At 34.9% G+C, this 19,740-nt stretch overlaps 1 protein-coding gene across 6 annotated transcripts in view; it reads right to left on the bottom strand.

Moving 5' to 3' along the window:
* The window catches only part of TMTC2 (transmembrane O-mannosyltransferase targeting cadherins 2), a 447,961-nt gene that overhangs the window by 166,759 nt on the left and 261,462 nt on the right, over nt 1–19,740 (bottom strand). For 5 of the 6 annotated variants that reach the window (XM_017018884.3, NM_152588.3, NM_001320321.2 and 2 more), the window contains 3 exons: nt 2,999–3,084; nt 2,364–2,548; nt 1,111–1,189 (listed from right to left, as the gene is read on the bottom strand). In XM_017018884.3, the coding sequence (XP_016874373.1) occupies nt 1,111–1,189; nt 2,364–2,548; nt 2,999–3,084 (350 nt within the window). Of the gene's footprint in view, nt 1–1,110; nt 1,190–2,139; nt 2,549–2,998; nt 3,085–19,740 lie in introns of those variants that run through there. The other variant, NM_001320322.2, reaches the window with a different exon arrangement.

Below are 19,740 nucleotides of genomic sequence, written 5' to 3'. Positions count from 1 at the left end.
TTTTATTTTTCTGTTTACTGTCTAGTACTCCAGCCTATCTCTAAACTATTTCTAAATGTTCTGTCCTTTGTAAAAAAGAGAACGTGAGTGTTCTTACCAGGTGTGTATTTTGTAGTTTGGGAGAGGTTTGGGATTTTTTTCTGTGCTCAAGACATATAGCTACTATTAAATTCCTCAAATATAGAATGTAGAAGTGTACAATAATCCTGGAGATTATATAGTCTAATCTCATTTATTTTATATGCATGAGAGAGGACTAGAAATATTAAACAACTTAAGCAGGTTTAATGAAAAGGGAAAATTTGACTTTACAATTTATGCTTTGGAAAAAAAGAAATATTTGATTTGAGGACAAAATGCTTCTCTTCTCTTTATTATCTCCAAGCAGCAATATTAATTAGTCATTAGGCCACCTTACTTTAGGGATTTTTTTCCAAGTGTCATATGCTGAATATGTGGTTTGCAGGGGTAACCATCATCAAACAGCTGTAGTAACAATTTACTACAAGGCAGACAAGGATCAATCACAGATGATAGATATTTTATTATAATTTCTCATTCTTGACCTCTTATAATCAGAAAAATCCATGGCCTAGACTTACATACTTTCTGATTAATAAGAATTAGGCAATTTTTCAACATAAAACATAGAATAATTGTTGTAGCATATCTATTGTCTGCATAATCTTGTTTTTATTATTAATATTACTCTGAATTTAAAATTAAATTTTAATAAAAATTATGAATTTGATACACTTACTAAAATTAATGTATACTTTATTACTATTATTGAAAAATTACATATATATAGCTTATTTATTTCTACAGTCTCTAGAGTCTAGCTAATATTCCATACCCAGATGTTTTTGAGAGTCCCTTGCAATAATTCTGGGATATGACCAAGGTGTTGGGAATCGCTGCTTTAATGCATTTATTTGTCATGTCAGAATAAATATGCTCTGTCAGAATTTGAGTATGATGCCAGATTGTGAACGTTTCTTTTGTGAGGATTAATATGATTTATTAGAATTCCATTAAACACGAACATGGGTTCCTGTTTCTCCACAGGTCCCTGAAATATCAATTTAAAAGTGTTAATGTTTTACTTACCCATCATGTTGTACAAGCTCTGTGGGGCAAACTGCCTTGGCATTTTCTGAATTGCTTCCTTGTATACACTAAGGGCTTCCTAATTTATAAAACAAAAAAAATAGATAAATCATCAATAAAGTGCAGGGATCGTCACTGAAAATAAGATAATAACTTTCTTCCAAAGTTAAAACCATCCACTGCTATTTCTAAATGGTTCACTAGAGGAAAATAATTGAACTGTCCTTTTGTGGCATACTATCTCAATTCCACCAATGAAAACACTCAGCCCAGTCAGTGAAGAATGCCATAGCTTAACGAGGCATCGAATGTTGGCAATGCTCTTTTAATACAAATTTTCTAGTTCATGCAGATTACTCAACTAAAAAACCAAAAAAACTATATATATATACATATTTGAAAGTTACCCATTAGTCATCTAAAGTGCATAATTACTTTAAGTCAGGAAACCTGGTAGGATCTAATATAATGTCAGCTAACAAATCTTCCAGCTCTTGAAACCCACAGAAATTACTAAATGCAATTATTTTAAAAGTTGTATCTCCATCCTTATAGTATAGTTTTAATACATTGCATAAGAGTACGTGAGTGGGAGGGCAGGGGAAAGCAGTTTGAAGGGGAGAGAGGGGCAATAAGGAACTCATGCAGGCATGGCTTCCTGTCAGAGGAAGGGAGGACTAGTCTGGGTCACCTCCTAACTTACTGTGCAACATCCTGTTACACCACTGTTTCTTTTCCCTCAGTTAAGAAATAATAAAATTACATTTTATTTCATAATAGTTTTTTAAAGAATTAAGAGAAATGGGTGGCATTTATATCAAATCACTTCCTTAAAGTACAAAGAATATATTTTTTAAAATATCAAACACTGGGCATAGGGTAACAATTCTAGAAACTGTGTCTTGGGTCATCAAACCAAAGAAATGGTGAGCAAAGAAGCTCGAGAAACATTACATGTTATTTCCCCATTCTTGAATAGTCACAATACATATTGACATACCATAATTGCTCTGAGAAACTCACAGGAAAGAAATCTATTAAATTTTTATTTAGCAGAAGCTTTTTCTAAACAAATTTGATCAAAAAACCATTCCAATGTCATCATGTATTAGTTTCTCAAAGGACAATAGTTTAACGTGTATACATATTAGTTGTTCAAAGGACATAGGCTCAAAGGAGGCTGTAGGTTACAAACCACTGAGACTGGATCAGAACAAGGGGGAGGGAAAAGGACAGAGAGGCATTGGCCAGACCTCATAGTGTCCCTGCTCATGATACAGCTTTCCTAGGTTGTACAAACAACTGGTAACAGAGCTCTTGTGTGCATGAGGGTCCTTTAGGTTTTCATCTGGGATCTCCGAACACTTTAAGAATGTCCGTCGGGCTTCTTCCGTCCTTCCTTGGTTCATTAGAATAATACCGGTATTTAAATATGCAGCTGAGGGGGAAAAGTGGAAACAAAAGTGTGAGAAGATGATATACACTTGAATAAAATAAAGTTTTCTTTGTTTCAATTTGGTTTCTATGGTTTAGTGCTCATTAAAAAAGAAAAAAATACTTATGACACAAATACTCATGGGATCAATAATGGTAGTGAAACTGCAAATATCACTGCAGAACATATGAAATAGTGTCTGCCAGCAAGAAATTCCAAATATTTTAAGCTTAAAATATAGTTGAGTAAAAGTTATAGCTATCATAATTTTTTAATGATCAATGGACATTAAAGTATGATGCAATTGAGATATAATTGTTAGAGGTTCATAATCTGATTAGCGAGTATTCAGAAATAAGAGCACCAAGTGTTTTCTCAGTGAGGCTGTAAATTAGAGTTAATTTTCAAATATGGAAAGAGGTATAAAAAAATAAACACTTGAGTATTACTTACAAGCCAGGGTAGGCCTGCTCCCAATGGCCAATTTATAATAATGTAGTGCTTCTGCAAACCTGCTGTTCTCCTGGAGAAGTAGCCCTCTGCATGAGGAAAACAGAAATTTAGAGAAAGGACTGTATTATTATATATAAAACCACAAATTTTTATTTTATATTCCAAAAATAAAAATGGTTAACAGCACAGTAAAAATGCTAACCTGGTAATATAAAAATAAATTCTAAATATAAGGAAATGATTCCTCAGGAGGGAAAATACTGGATAGGTATCCGTTGCATTTGTGCTGCATTAGAAAGTATTAGGAGGTATTTTCTAAAAGCCTTTTACCACCACTGAACTTTCCCCTTTTCTAGCTGTCTTTTCTCTCCCACTAGAATTACTAACCACCTGGTTTTCTTCTTGGAGCATGCACATTTTCCCATCACTTCGGAAATGAAGCTTGCCTAAGGCAGTGAGATATGTATATGTGGAAACATGAGATGCCTCTCTCACTAGCTGTGTTGCTTGGGAAATATTGGTGCTTGGCTGCCTGAAAGGCAAAAGGTAGTCTGGCTCAATAGCAAAAAGAGAGTCACAGTTTAATCAGACGCCAAAAAAGAACAACAACAAAAAAGACTGAAGGCTATCAACATCACCCTTTTCTTGATATTTGGATTTAGTTGAATAAGACTGGATTTCGGAACACTATGCAAATTTCAGTTCACTGTTCTGAAAAACATCTTTCTCTGCAGACCCCAAGATTCCATAGGCTTTCTTAGAAGGCTCTAAGGTAGTAACTGCATGTAATATCTCAGCCATGCCAGAACCCACCCTCATGACCGAATGAAATCAATTACAGGCATGTCTATGAAAACAAGGTGTTGGAGAATTGAACTAAGTTCAAAAAGCTCGCACAGAGGGCTTTTTGGCCTATCCCCATTCTCTTGTAATCAGTTAAGTATCTTACAGACATTCCGCACATCTATTGAGCCTGAATACTGCTGTTATCATCTCAAATTGCAGATTCAACTTGGCAGCTGCTGAGGTCTGTGAAAGGCTGGTAAAAGGGAGGTCAGAGAAAAGAGAAGACTACTAATAAAAACTTATTCTGTTAAGCATTTTAAAATACATTATTTAATGAGCATCTTGGTAAAATATTTAAAATTAAAGAATGCTCACTTGTGTCAAAAGCATATATTAAAAACTTCATTATTTCTCATAGTTGCTACAAAGTCATCTGAATAAAGAATTCCCAAACACAATAAGATCACTTTCACATATATATATATATATATATATATATATATATATATATATATATATATATATATATATGAAAATCTGGACAACAGTTAATCTGATCATGAAATTAATATGCTGTGCTGTGAAGTGTTCTTGTCTGCTGCTAGGAACAAGAGAGAATAAAGCTTCCTGCAGTAGTTAAGCATTTGTGGAAATGGTCAGTTTTATTCAAACATGGGTAAAATTGATAAAGAGGATGAAAAAATTTTTAAAAAGGAATAATACTCTTTATGACAATAATTTTATTGACATAATGCTTTCCCATTAATTAAACTCATACATATTAGCTAACTTCTGAAACTTTTCTACAACCTTAAATGTCTTCATGGCTTTGCTTTAAAATTCAGATAAAGAAAAAAAAAATTCAGATAAAGAGGTGCATCTCCCTTGATAGAAGGGTAAGTGCACCAGGGGAGAAATACCATCTAGATATTTAATTCTATTTTTTCTAGCTTCTTTAGAAATTAAAATCCTTCAATCAACCCCTCTTTGTCCAATATCTTCAGCTGCTTTTATCATACGGTTTTCTTTTCTTAAGAACACAAAAATGTTCGTGTACCTCTTAGACATAGGAGAAGAAAACACCCGTATAACCTGTATTCATTCTTGTATCCACCTCTAACTATTGCTTATGATCGTTCTTCCCTTCAAAGCCAGATTTTCTTTAAGAATGGTCTGTGGTGTATATGACCAATGCCCCAATCCCATTTACCCCTAAATCCTGTTTAGATTCTCTTCCCAGAATTCCCCTGAAATGTCCTATTAAATTTCTACCAATCATCAAACCCTCAAAATAGTGCACCTATGTGAAACTCCACTCAACTACTACACTTCAGACTACTGAATTCACCTTCCTTCCTGAAACTCTGTATTTCCTGGGCTCCTGGGAGACCAGTCTCTTCTTGAGACCCTCCTACACAGAATGAAAAAGAAAATGTCTCTTTATTCATGAACTCCTTTAAAAGGAGTTGGTGTTTTACAGGATTTTGTACTTGTCTCTAGGAATAAATACAGTCTCTGTGGATAACTACAGTCTCTGCATGACATAATGCATAAATGTGGCTCATGTACATGCTGACTGCTCACAATTTTGAAAAAATGATCTCCCTCCTGACATCCAGATCTGCTTTCAAAAGCTGATTGAGCCACATCAAGGTAGAGGCTCACTGAAATTTCAAAATCAATACATCCAAAATATGAAATCAGTATCTCCCACCTAAAAATAAATAAATGAAATAAATAAAATAGGGAAAAAATCTTTGTAATTAACACAGTCATTCACTCCAGTTGCTAAAATGAGAAACCTGATTATCACTCTTAGGTCTTCACTTATCTTCACAATTCCATGTTTTGTCTACTAAGCCCACCTATTCTTATTTTCTAAGGCTCTTTACTCTGCCCATCAAGGTTTATCTTTATGCTTCTGTCAGAGCCCTTTTTATCTTTTCTGTCACCTGAATGATGGCAATAGCCCACTAATTAGTCTCCACATAATTACATTCCTAAAGGGCAAACATGCTATTAGGCTAGATGGAATGAACATGAAGGGAATGAGCACATATCTCTGACAATGTACCTAAAGCCCAAAATCATTGAAAACTGATGTACTTAGCCTCCTGGGATTCCAATGCTGATAGACTATATTCCTGTCATTATCCAATTCATAAAATATACAAAGAAGAAAAAAATGATAAATAGTATAATAACCACACTAGGACAACCCTGTTCTGCCTGCCTTATTCTTGTGGGGAGGGGCCGGATCCTAGTCACTCAGAGGAATTCAGCAAGTCATTTCCAGGAATATATATATACTGTGAGTCTTTGAATTAGAATATCATCGTCCTCTACATAATCTGAATAAAGTTAGCAATAGAGTGAGTCTAAGATAGATGACTATTGTGACTGATTTCTTATGGGCTAAGTAAGGATTTAATTGAGCATTAACTATGCCCAAGAATGGATGCTGCAAATGTGAACAAGACAGAGTTGCACTTGCCTATGGATGCAAAATCTACTGAGGGAGACAAATAAGAAAACAAATGGTGTAGAAAATTACTGTACTGGAGGACAGAGGACCAACATTACCCAGCCCAGGAATGGATAAGGAAAGGTCTGGAGTCCAAATAGGACTGGAGACTGCCAGTAGGCAGACGCTGAAAGCACCCCACAGTAAAAAGAGTTATCAGCTCCACATTACAAAGGGAAAAAGAGAGGCTCAGAGAATTAACCAACTCCCTCTAGTTATTATGATTAATAAGAGGCAAAGCCAGAATTAGAACAGTTTCCGATACTAAATCTCATGCTCTTTCTAGAAGGAAAAGAGAAAAGAGATGAAATACTTCAATTCCAGGTACATGTGTACTCGGTTATGTTTCTTTTTGCTGTAAAACTTGCCGAATTTTATATAATGTTAATTTGTGTTGATACACTGAAAAGGAGTCAAGTGCCATTTTGGAAGTTCTGGATAAATTTGGGCCAATTCTAGCACTGTTATGACTAGGGTTCTGTTAGTGTTATTTTCTAGATTGAGAAAACCCTTTTTTATTTTACTGATAACATGATAAACAGAAATCCTTCATGTTACAATAGTTACAATAATAATAATAATAATAATAATAATAATAATAATAATAGTGGCAGAGAAACTTATTCAGCACTTAGAATATATGGAGCATTTTACATATATTACTTTATTATTCAACAATAATCTTAAGAGGTAGGATATTATTACTTTCTTCATTTTGCACATAACGAACCTTGGGCAAGAAAAGTTAAGTAACATACCTAAGGTCAAACAACAGGTAAGAAGGTGCCAAAATTCAAACCTAATAGTCTGGATATACATGAGGACCTGTAATTTAATAAATCATTCATACTAAAGGCTTTTTATGACTTTTCATGACTGTTTAAAAATGACATAGTTTGTTTACATGCAGATCATGTCCAAATCTTCTGGTTTCTATATGAAAAACAGGAACACATTATACATTTTTTTTAAATTAAAAAAACCTGATACCTATATATTTGTTAAAATTTTTTTTAGATTCAAGGGGTTCATGTACAGGTTTCTTACATGTATATATTGCATGATGCTGTGGTTTCCGGTACAACTGATCCCATCACCCAGGTACTGAGCATAGTACCACTTAGTTAATTTTTCAACCATTGCTCCCCTTCCTCCTTTCCTCCCTCCCTCTCTGCTTTAGTAATCCCCAGTGTCTTTTATTGCCATCTTATGGCCATGAATATCCAATATTTAGTTGCCACTTCCAAGTGAAAACATGCAGTATTTGGTTTTCTGTTCCTGCATTAATCTCCTTAGGATAATGGCCTCCAGCTGCAGCCATGTTACAGCAAAATACATAATTATATACTTTTTATGGCTGTGTAGTATTCCCTGGTGATTTACCCCCTTTTCTTTACCCAGTCCATCATTAACAGAACCTAGATTGATTCCACAGCTTTGTTATTTTGACTAGTGCTGCAATGAACATGTGAGTGCATGTGTCTTTTTGATTGAATGAGTTATTTTCCTCTGGGTACATACCCAGTAACAGGACTGCTGGGTCAAATGGTAGTTCTGTTTTAAGTTCTTCGAGAAATCTCCACACTGTTTTTATAAGTATTCCCTTTTCTTCATTGTCTCACCAGCACCTATTGTTTTTTTGACTTTTTAAATAATAGCATTCTGACTGGTGTGAGATGGTATCTCACTGTGGTTTTGATTTGCATTTCTCTGATGATGAGTGATGTCGAGCATTTTTTATGTTTGTTGGCAGCTTTCATGTCTTCTTTTGAAGTGTCTGCTCATATCTTTCTTTTTTTTGTTTTTAATGGTGTTGTCTTTTGCTTGTACAATTATTGACATTCCTCATAGATTCTGGATATTAGACCTCTGTTGGATGCATAGTGTGCAAACATCTCTCATTTTGTAGGCTGTCTGTTTACTCTGTTGATAGTTTCTTTTGCTATGCTGAAGCTCTTTACTGTAATTAGGTGCTGCTTGTTAATTTTTGTTTTTGTTGCAATGTCTTCTGAGGACTTGGTCAGAAATTCTTTCCCAAGGCTTATGGTCAGAATGGTGTCTCTTAGGTTTCCTTCTAGGATTCTTAACACTTTGAGGACTTACACTTAAATCTTTAATCCATCTTGAGTTAATTTTTTATATATGGTGAAAAGGAGGGATCCAATTTGATTTCATGCATATGGCTAGCCAGCTATCCCAGCATTATTTACTGAACAGCAAATCCTTTTCTCATTGCTTACTTTGGTCAAATTTGTCGAAGGTCAGATAGCTGTAGATGTGAGACTTTATTTCTGGATTCCAGGTTCTGTTCCACTGGTCTATGTGTCTGATTTTGTATCAGTACCATGCTGTTTTGGTTATGGCAGCCTTATAGTAGAGTTTCAGGTTGAATAATGCAATGCCTCTGGGTTTGTTCTTTTTGCTTAGAATTACTTTGGCTATTCAGGCTCTTTTCTGGTTCCATATATTAGAATAGTGTTTTTCTAATTCTGTGAAAACTGACATTGGTAGTTTGATAGAAATAGCACTGAATCTGTAAATTGCTTTGGGCAGTATGACCATTTTAATGATATTGATTCTTCCAACTCATAAGCATGGAATGTTTTTCCATAGTTTGTGTCATCTGTGATTTCCTTCAGCAGTGTTTGGTAGTTTTACTTGTAGAGAACTTTCACCTCCTTGGTTAGAAATATTCCTATATTTTTGTGTGTGTATATGGCTATTGTAAATGGGATTGCATTCTTTATTTCCCTCTCAGCTTGAATATTATTCATGTACAGAAATGCTACTGACTGTTTTACATCAATTTTTGTATCATGAAACTTTATTGAAGTCATTTATCAGTTCCAGTAGCCTTTTGGCAGAGTCTTTAGGGTTTTCTGAGTATAGATTAATGCTATCAGTAAAGAGTTAGTTTGACTGCTTTTCCTATTTGGAGGCCTTTTATTTCTTTCTCTTGCCTAACTGGTCTGGCTAGGAGTTCCAGTACTATGTTGAATAGGAGTGGTGAGAGTCGGCATCTTTTCTTATTCCAGTTCTCAAAGAGAATGCTTCCAGTTTTTGTCCACTTAGTATGATGTTGGCTGTGGGTGTGTCAAAGATGGCTCTTAATATGTTGAGGTTTGTTCCCTCAATGTCTAGTTTCTTGAGGGTTTTATTATAAAGGGCTGATAAATTTTATTGGAAGTTTTTTCTGCATATACTGAGATAATCATATAATTCTTGTTTTTAATTTTACTTATGTGGCGAATCACATTTTTTTGATTTGCACATGTTGAACCAACCTTGCATCCCAGGAATGAAGCCTACTTGATCATGGCGACTTACCTTTTTAATGTACTGCACAATTCAGTTTACTAGTATTTTACTGAAGATTTTTGTGTCTATGTTCATTAGGGATATTGGTCAGTAGTTTTTTTGTTTTTTTTGTTTTTTTTTTTTTTTTGAGACAGACTCTTGCTCTGTCACCTAGGCTGGAGTATAGTGGTGTGATCATAACTCACAGAAGCCTTGATTTTCCAGGCTCAAGCGATTCTCCTGCCTCAGTAGCTGGGGCTACAGGTGTGCGCTACCACACCTGGGTAAACTTTTTGATTTTTAGTAGAGATGAGGTCTAGCTGTATTGTTCAGGCTTGTCTTGAACAACTGAGGGCAAGTGATCCTCTCACCTTGGCTTGCCAATGTATTGAGATTACAGGCATGAGCCGTTGTGCCCAGCCTGGTTTTCTTCCTTGTGTCTTTGCCAGGTTTTGGTATCAGGGTGATGCTGGCTTCATAGAATGAGTCAGGGAGGGGTCCGACCTCCTTGATTTTTTGGGATAGTTTTAGCAGAATTAGTACCAGTTCTTTGTACATCTGGTAGAATTCAGCTGTGACTCTATCTGGTCCAGATCTATTTGGTAGGTAAGTTTTTGTTTTTTGTGTTTTTCTTTTTTTTAATTACTGACTCAGTTTCCAAAGTCAGTATTAGTCTGTTCAGGTTTTTATTTCTTCCAGGTTCAATCTTGTGAAACTGTGTGTTTCCAGGAATTTATCCATTTCCTCTGGATTTTCTAGTTTGCGTGCATAGAAGTGTTCATAATAGTCTCTGAGGATCTTTTATATTTCTTTGTACTTATTTGTATTCTGCACCAACCTAATATCGTCCCTCTTTTTTTCTTTGTTAATCTTGATAGTGGTCTATAGATCTTCTTTATCCTTTAAAAAAACCAACTTTTGGGTTCATTGATTCTTTTAGATTTTGGGGTCTCAAATTCATTCAGTTCTGTTTTGACTTTTGTTATTTCCTTTCTTCTTCTGCCTTTGCAGTTAGCTTGCTCATGTTTTTCTAGTTTAGGTTTGATGTTAGATCATTAATTTAAAATCTTCCTAGCCTTTTGAGGTAGGCATTTGGGACTATGAACTTTCTCTTAACACGGCTTTTGCTGTATCCCAGAGACTTTAGTATGTTGCATCTTTGTTTTCATTTACTTAAAAAAATTTTGATTTCTGTTTTAATTTCGTTGTTTACCCAAAAGTCATTCAGGAGCAAGTTGCTCAATTTCCATGTAATACTGTGGTTTTGAGAGATCTCCTAGGTAATGATTTTTATTTTTATTCCAAGAGTGGTCCAAGAGTGTGGGTGGTATGATTTCAGTTTTGTTTTTAATTTAGTGAGATTTGCTTTATGGCCAAGCATGTAGTCGATCTTGGGTGATGTTCCATGTACAGATGAGAAGAATGTATATTGGGTGGTTTATTGGTAGCGTATTCTATAGATATCTATCAGTCCAGTTGGTCCAGTGTTGAATCTAAGTCCAGAATTTATTAGTTTTCTGCCTCAATGATCTGTCTAACATTGTCAGTGGGGTGTTGAAGTCCCCCACTATTATTGTGTGGCTATGTCTTTTTGTAGGTCTCAAAGTACTTGTTTCATGAATATGGGTGTTCCAATGTGGAATGCATACATATTTAGGATAGTTAAGTCTTCTTGTTGAACACTTTACATTATGGAATGCGCTTCTTTGTACTTTTTTTACTTATGCTCATTTAAAGTCTGTTTTACCTGGCCAGGTGCAGTGGCTCATCCCTGTAATCCTAGTATTTTGGGAGGCAAAGGCGGGCGGATCACCTGAGGTCAGGAGTTCAATACCAGTCTGGTCAACATGGTTAAACTCCATCTCTACTAAAAATACAAAAATTAGCCAGACATGGTCGTGGGCACCTGTAATCCCAGCTACTTGGGAGGGAGGCTGAGGCAGGAGAATCACTTGAACATGGGAGATGGAGGGTGCAGTGAGCTGAGATCATACTATTGTACTCTAGCCTGGGTGACATTGACTCTGTCTCAAACAAATAAATGAAGTAAGTCTGTTTTATCTGATGGAAGAATAGTGACTCTTGCTCTTTTTTGTTTTCTGTCTGCATACTACATCTTTCTCCAACCCTTTACTATGAGCCTGTGGGTGTCATATTATGTGTGAGATGTTTCTCTTGAAGACAGCAGACATATATATATATATATTTTTCATTCCACTTGGTACTCTGTGCCTAAGTGAAGCATTTAGACCACTTACATTAATGATTAATATTAATATGTGAGGTTTTGATCCTATCATGAAGTTACTAGTTTGTTGCTTTGTAGTTTCTATTGTGTGGTTGTTTTATAGGGTCTGTGGGCTATATACTTAAGTGTGTTTTTGGTAGCAGTTATCATTATTTTGTTTCCATGTTTACAACTCAAGGATTTCACATAAGGTTGATACAGTGGAAGAACGTATTTTAATGTGGCAGTAAGTCCATATCATACGGAGTTGCCTGAAAATTAAGAAAACTGGCCCATGCTATATATTAATGTGAATTTAAAGTGCCTTTTGGGGGAGAAATTGAAAAAAAAATATTTCCAGTCTCTTAAATTATAAGTAATAGGGTCAATTTTATGTATCCATGTGTAGGTGGGTATTATTACAGCATTTTTAAAATAATATTTTACTTCTCAGATTTCTCCTCTAATGATTTATCTTTTAGAACAACAGACAATGAAATTAAGCAGACAGTGATGAAAAAATAATTGGGGAAAGAGAAATAATCAGTATTTGTTTTGGTCAAAGAAAGAAAATACACCTGGAGATATGAACTACTACTATTTCTAAGACCTAAATTCTAGAAAATCATGTTACTAAAAAAAGAAAAATAACAAAATGTTGTCTTTTAAATCCTTTTAGCTCTTTTTTTCCCCTGATCATCATCACATGTTCTAGTAATACTGCATGTGTAGTATTTCTTTTCCCTAGGAACATTTTGCCCATCTTTTCTCCCATCTCCCCTAACAACCCTGTCTTTGTCTAAGATAATATTTTATGAAATCACAATAATCTGGACACTTGATTAATAAAGAACAGTCAAACCCACAATAACAGTGGATTGGACAGAGCTGAACGCAAACATTAAATGTAAATAGGCATATGGGTCCCTAGGTGATCCTAAACATTGACAGAGAAAGAAGAGGAACATTTATTTAGCACAGTGATCCTCAATCAGGACTGACTTCCTCCCACCCCAGGGGATATTTGGCAATGTCTGGACACATTTATGCTTGTCACAACTTGGGGAATGTAACTGGCATTTAGTGGGTAGAGTCCAGGAATGCTTTTAAACATCTTACAAGGCACAGAACAGCCTTCCACAGCAAAGAATAACCTAGCCCAAAATGTCAACAGCACTAAAGTTGAAAAACCCTGATTAGAATTTCATATCAACTAACTACAATACATTTCTTCAGAAAATAAAGCCCTGTGTCTCTTCTAATCACACACACCAACTATACAAGAAGATATACTACAGAAAAGCAAATTAAAAGGATTACATTATTTTTCATTAAAAAGTCTAACCTACCATTTCTATTTTCACAAAGGTAAAAGAAAAATTAAATTTTCTAAAAATTAAACAGAAAAGCACACCCTTTCCTACTTCTGACAATACATCTGACCAAATTGTCAGTGTCTCTTTGTAGTAAGACTGCCCTCTAGATAGAACTATCAAAACATCCAAATCCTTAAGTAAAGTGGCCTTTCGCCTCTTGTTCTAACAAAGGTCTTAAAAAGTGGTTGAAATCTGAGAGGTTCAAGTGTGGATATGAATAAAGCACATTAGGAGATGAAAGTATGCTTTTCAAGAGTACATATTTCAGTAACACAGCTGATGTCCCTGCAACACGCAAGGGAAACAGGATTCTGCTTAACATGGAATCACATACCTTCAAAACCAGGGAAATACTGAAGGATAAACAGTTTCTTTCTTGCTTTGATTTCATTAAAGTGCAATGTGCAGCACTCTTAACAATACACTAAACATTGACAAGGAGCTTACCAAATAATGAATAAATAATTTTTCAGTGAATTGTCTCACAGTGAAGACAGACAAGCAAACAATCACAATACTGTGTAGAGAGGGTCATGATAAAATGTAAGGTGTTTTGGGAACCCATGAAAGGAACACCTACCCAAGAGAACAGGTGAGGTGAAGTTCCTAGAGAAGACGAGAAAAAAAAGGACCAAGTCAGGAATGCCGACAAGAGCATTCCAGACAGATCAAGCCATGTGTACGAAAACTCAAGAGTTACAGAGGATAGCATTTTTCACCTAACAATAGCAATAATAACAGGCTTCATGAAAATAAAATGACAAAATCTATGTAGGAAGCATCTGGGAAACTAAAAAACTAAGACAAATGAAAATTAGGACTATATTACCAAGAATGAGTTTCAGTAATAAATAGTCTGGCTATTCCCTGGACAAAAAAAATAATAATCAAAATAAGTCAGATAACAATGTTTATAGGCAATGATTCACAAAATATTTTTAATACCCAGTTATTTAAGAAGTATGTTCATTTTAAACTAAAAGATGTTTCTGAATTTCATTTCGTTTGATTGTCCTTTAACACACATAAGGACTATGAAACTAAGGGTTTTTTTTTTTTCTCAGAGATAAAACATAAATTTTAGATACTCACATTTTTTCCTAAGGTTTTTTATGCATTTGAAATTTGCAAACTGAAATGAACCAACATTGGTTGCAGTCATATTTGAACTTTGCATTAATCCAAATTTCCTAATCAAATTTGCTTATTTAGCTAATGGCTTTAGTAATGAGATTTTACATAACTTAATTGTTAAATGTGATTACACAGACACATTTGCTCACTTTTTTCCCAAGAATTATGCTTAGTTTTAAGCAACATTTATAATATGACACTTGGAAAAATAAATCTTTAATCTCTATCATTCAACAGGACTGATAATTTAATAGCACGGTACACTCATGAAACACAAATGCTCCCAAATCTTGTTTGATAAAATAGATATGAGTCAAAATTCTCAAGTGACTACACTGGCAATAAAAGGAATTAAATTCAAAATCCTTTTTAAATTCACTTACTGTAAATAAGTCGCTACTACTTGAATTAATTACAGTAATTCCAAAATTTAGAGAGACACAAGAGCTTAGGAATTAAGTAACTAATATGCACTAGCCACTGTGTTGGAACTGAAAACATAAAAAGAACCACGATCAAACATGCAGCCAGGTTTGGTCATGTCACGAGCAGCACAAGAATCCTGCATTGCTTTAGGAAATCACCTGAAAGGAGCGCACTTCCTCCCTTACCCCACCTCTTTGCTGCTAGCTGTAAGGCAGAAGTCCTGTGTTGAGGGAGGTAGTGGTCAAACCAAAACTAACACACAAGTCCTGGAAACTAAGCCCTTTATAAAACTGTCCAACCAGCAAGGACTGCACATCTCTGGACTCCCTTTTTAAAAGACAGATTTAAAAAATGTGTAACTGGTTTAAGCTACTGTTATTTTGGGTTTCTTATCACTTGACAACCAACCTCTTCCCAACTGACAAAATGCCATATGCATTATTCGTGTTTTTAAAAATGTATAATGCTGCCGGGCGTGGTGGCTCATGGCTGTAATCCCAGCACTTTGGGAGGCCGAGGTGGGTGGATCACCTGAGGTCAGGAGTTCGAGACCAGCCTGGCCAACATGGTGAAACCTCGTCTCTACTAAAAACAAACAAACAAACAAAAAAACACCACACACAAAAATTAGCAGGGCATGGTGGCATGCGCTTGTAGTTCCAGCTACTAGGGAGGCTGAGGCAGGAGAATCATTTGAACCCAGGAGTCAGAGGCTGCAGTGAGCCAAGATTGCACCACTGGACTTGAGTCTGGGCAACAGAGCAAGACTCCATCTCAAAAAGACAAACCATATATACATATGTGTGTGTGTGTGTGTGTCTGTGTGTGTATGTATATATAAAGTTATAAAATATGTAACATCAAATATAGCGCTCATAGAGAAATTTTAATAAAAACTTCATTTAATTACATTCAAATAAATACAAAGTATGAGTTGTCTGGTTTTGAGTGATAACCAGATTAGACAACTGCCAAGAATAAAACTTGGAATTAAAATATTTAATTAAAATTAAATAATTTAAGAATGTAATAGGTGTATGAAATTGGAACTCTTAAATTAAGTTCCTAGACATCAGAGTGGTCACAGATATCAGTTTGTCCAAAAGAACAATGACATTAGTAGTATTTTTTTAAGGCATATGAATCCTTTTCATATCCAAATACTAGAAAGAGGTGAACTCAGAAATTTTTAAGTAGAATAGAAACAGGTAGGATTTTCATCTCAGAAAAAAAAGTTCAGTGAGATATAAGTTATTGAATCTGAGCTCCGCGGGAGATACCAGAGACAAAGCTATAGTTTCTGGTCTCATGAAGCACTTCTGTGACTTTTAGGTTATCTTAGGATAGCAGACTTTGTATTCGAGGACCAAGCAAAAGAATTCTCATTACTCATATTTTTTTTTCTCAAATCATATACTCTATTTCTCTCCCTTTCTCTTTTCCTTAATTAAACTATGTTAAATACTGGTTAAAAATGACATTTTAACTAAGAGTGTTTTGGATAGAAAAGCACTAATAGAGGATGCAAATGTAAATGACCGACTTTCTTTAAAACACGTACTTTCGAGTTATTAGAAAAATGCTTAACACACTTGCTGTGAAAGGCATAATTGAATACATATTTTAAAATACTGCTACGTTATTCTATGTGATTTTTGCATATCATATGTACTGTGAGCAAAATTAAAAGATGTACCCTTCTTTAAAAGGTTAAATTCCAGCTGGGCGCAGTGGCTCACACCTGTAATCTTAGCACTTTGGGAGGCCGAGGCGGGAGGATTGCCTGAGCTCAGGAGTTCGAGACTAGCCTAGGCAATCTGGTGAAACCCTATCTCTACTAAAACACAAAAACAAAAAAAGAAAACAAAACAACAACAACAAAATAGCTGGGCGTGGCGGCATGTGCCTGTAGTCCCAGCTATTCAGGAGGCTGAGGCAGGAGAACTGCTTGAACCCGGGAAGTGGAGATTGCAGTGAGCCGAGATTGTGCCACTGCACTCCAGCCTAGCGACAGAGCGAGACTCCATTTCAAAAAAAAAAGTTAAATTCCACTGGGAAGGGTATTGAACTAGTTGTTTCCCTGCTCTATACTTTCATTGAACTAAGAAAAATGGAAAAAAGGAGATGGACAGAAAAACCACCACCATGCCACACATAAACTAGGTAAATAAGGGCACATGATTCTATTACATAGGTCTCCAAAGCTGAAATCTGTTTCAGAGTGTGTCACTTGTGTCACAAAACTGCAAAGTAGGTGTCAGAAAATACAGTTAAGCCCTCTCTCTGGTATCCTTCTTTTGACACAGACCTAATTATTTGTTCTAAATTGAATTTTGTTTAGACTTGGACAACTAAATAAAGTATAATAATGCCACTGTCTTTCATAAAGTTCTTTTTTTAAATTCTAACCTGTTAAATATGAAACAGTAGGCATTCAATCTAAATGACTTTTTAATTATTTCAGATGGATTGCCAAAAACGTTATTCTTTAACATTATTAGAGAAATAACAAGTTGCAGCTTTTGAAAATAATTTTTATATGAGTTTTTCCTTAAGAGTCTAAAGAAAGAGAAACATATCCTCACTACAGTATCATTTATTTAAAAGTTTGTGAAGTCTTGATTAAATGGAGTATTCATTACAAAGAGGCTTCTCCTGAGATTGAACATGGACTATGACATCTAAATAAGCCTTTATGTTCCATATTAGTCCATTACTACCTTTGTGACAGGTGGTGAATAAGACGCTTTACAACTATTATGTATTTCTCACAATGAACCCATAAAGGTATCAACCTTATCTTAAAATGAAGGGTTCAAAGATCAGAATGGTTAAGCAACTTAAGTCTATGCAGCTAGTTGTTATTGTTGGATCTAGGATTCGGAGAACTACATTGTATATTCATATATGCATAATTTACTTTGTACCTACCTTTTGAATATATAACTAAGACTACATTTTCTTCCACATGTCAAAATAATAGGTGTGAATATATTTTCCTAGTTTAAAAACAGTACTCAACAGGAAGTAATAAAGATTAATACTTGGGGTTTAAGTTTTTCATATTATTTCTTTCCACCCTTGCAATTAGCAATAGCAATTATTATTCTTTTTACTTTAGAGTCTAAAAATGAAGGGGGAGAATTTAAATAATTTGTCCATGATAATGTAGCTGTCAAGACTCAAGATGAGATTCAAATTCAGAGGTATCAGGCTTCAAATCACCAACACTGGGAATAGGTGACTGCTTTTAGCTTAGTATTAATACCCGCCCTTTCTCTCTGGTTCATATACACACTGCTTCTTAATTATCTCAGTCAACAAATTTCTCTTCTTTTCTTATTTATACATGCACTTCCCAACATGTAAGCATCTTGAATTTGCATCGTGAGATAAACTGCAGCCTCCCAATGACAGTCAACCTCTATTTTACCAAGAAATGCATCACAACCAATACACTTATAAAGGGGTTTCCTTGAGTTACTCTTGTGCTTTGGACTCACTCCTCTTCATGGACGTGGTTGCCAGTGAGATAAGACATAGCCCCAAAATGGCATAGCCAGGGAACACTAAGAAATAGAATAAAATTACCAGCTAACAAACTCTTCAGATTTTATTATCATATAATTATATCAAATTTCTAGACATTATATTAACGTCTCTTATATTATATAATGCAACTCAACCCAATGTTGCAGATGAAGAATAAGGATTAAATAATTTGCCTAAGGTCAGACACAGGACCAATAAATGAATGATTTGAAGCCAAGTCTGTTTAAAGCCAAAGACATGCTCTGAAGTATTTCACTGAGCTGCCTCCAAAGTACAAGGTTGCCAGATAATTTAATTTAAAAAATTTTAAAAAAGCAACTTTTCCCCTTTCCCCATTACCCTTCCCATGAAAACAAATATGACTCTGGTAAGTCCATATATATCTTCTGGAATCACAGTCAAATCTCTTTCAAGTATTTCCTTCATCCTCTGGGAGAATTTTTATTTAAAACAAACAAAATTAAGAAATGAAAAGCATCTAACACAAGTTAAAGGCACTAACCACAAATGATTTAACTTTAAACCTATATACTGATTTACTATCTATTCTTTGCTATTTGCAGGTGCTATCCAACATGGACGTCTAATCTTTATGTAATTTCTTGGAGAAGAAACACCTATCAGTTGGAGAGTGTGTAACCACTGCAGAGGAACTCCTACGCTGGAATACAAGCATAGGCCAAAACCTTTCTTGCTCAGTAAAACTCAATGTAGTTAGACTGACTTGTTTATTCATTCAAAACATATTTTGAAAGTACCATTATGGAGGTTTAATGATTAGAAAAGATAAATTATTTAAAAAGCAGCGCCAATGCTGAGTTGATATGCTTTGAATGCTTTGGTATAGTATGATACACTATGGAAGTCCACAGCCAGAAAACCTAACTTAAACAAGTTTGTTCAGGCAGAGGGAAGAAAAAAGGAAAAAAAAAAATAGCTTTTGAGAATTCTACAGAAATCAACACACTCAAAAAAATTACAAAAAGAAAAAAAAGCTTCACGGCAAGATTCCATCACAGATATGGTTATAATTTGGGTTAGAGATGACCCCATGGGCACACAGAGATTTAGTGCAATGCACTCACTTTAAACATAAATGTTCAACAAAGTGGGTGTTTTCTTTGTCCCTTAACAGCAGTGCACTAATGAAAGTCTGCTGTTAAAGCAATAAATTATGAAAGGGGAAAAGGTATCATGTATCTTATGGACCAGCGGGAATAGGTGTTAGGTCATACAAGCAGTTTCTAAGTTAAAAATAAGGAAGATGAGTTCCAAAAATGAAAGTCTGAAGCTATATATATATTTTTTTGCTTGGAATAGATTTTTCAACTTAGCAACAATTCACTTGAAGGTTTATCCTGAATACTTCAGAATTAGAAGAAAAACACTATTCATAACAATCTTTTTTTTTTTTGTTTAA

This window comes from Homo sapiens, chromosome 12 (genome assembly GCF_000001405.40).
Source record: "Homo sapiens chromosome 12, GRCh38.p14 Primary Assembly".
Classification (NCBI taxonomy): domain Eukaryota; kingdom Metazoa; phylum Chordata; class Mammalia; order Primates; family Hominidae; genus Homo; species Homo sapiens.
This window is presented reverse-complemented; position numbering and strand designations above follow the sequence as displayed.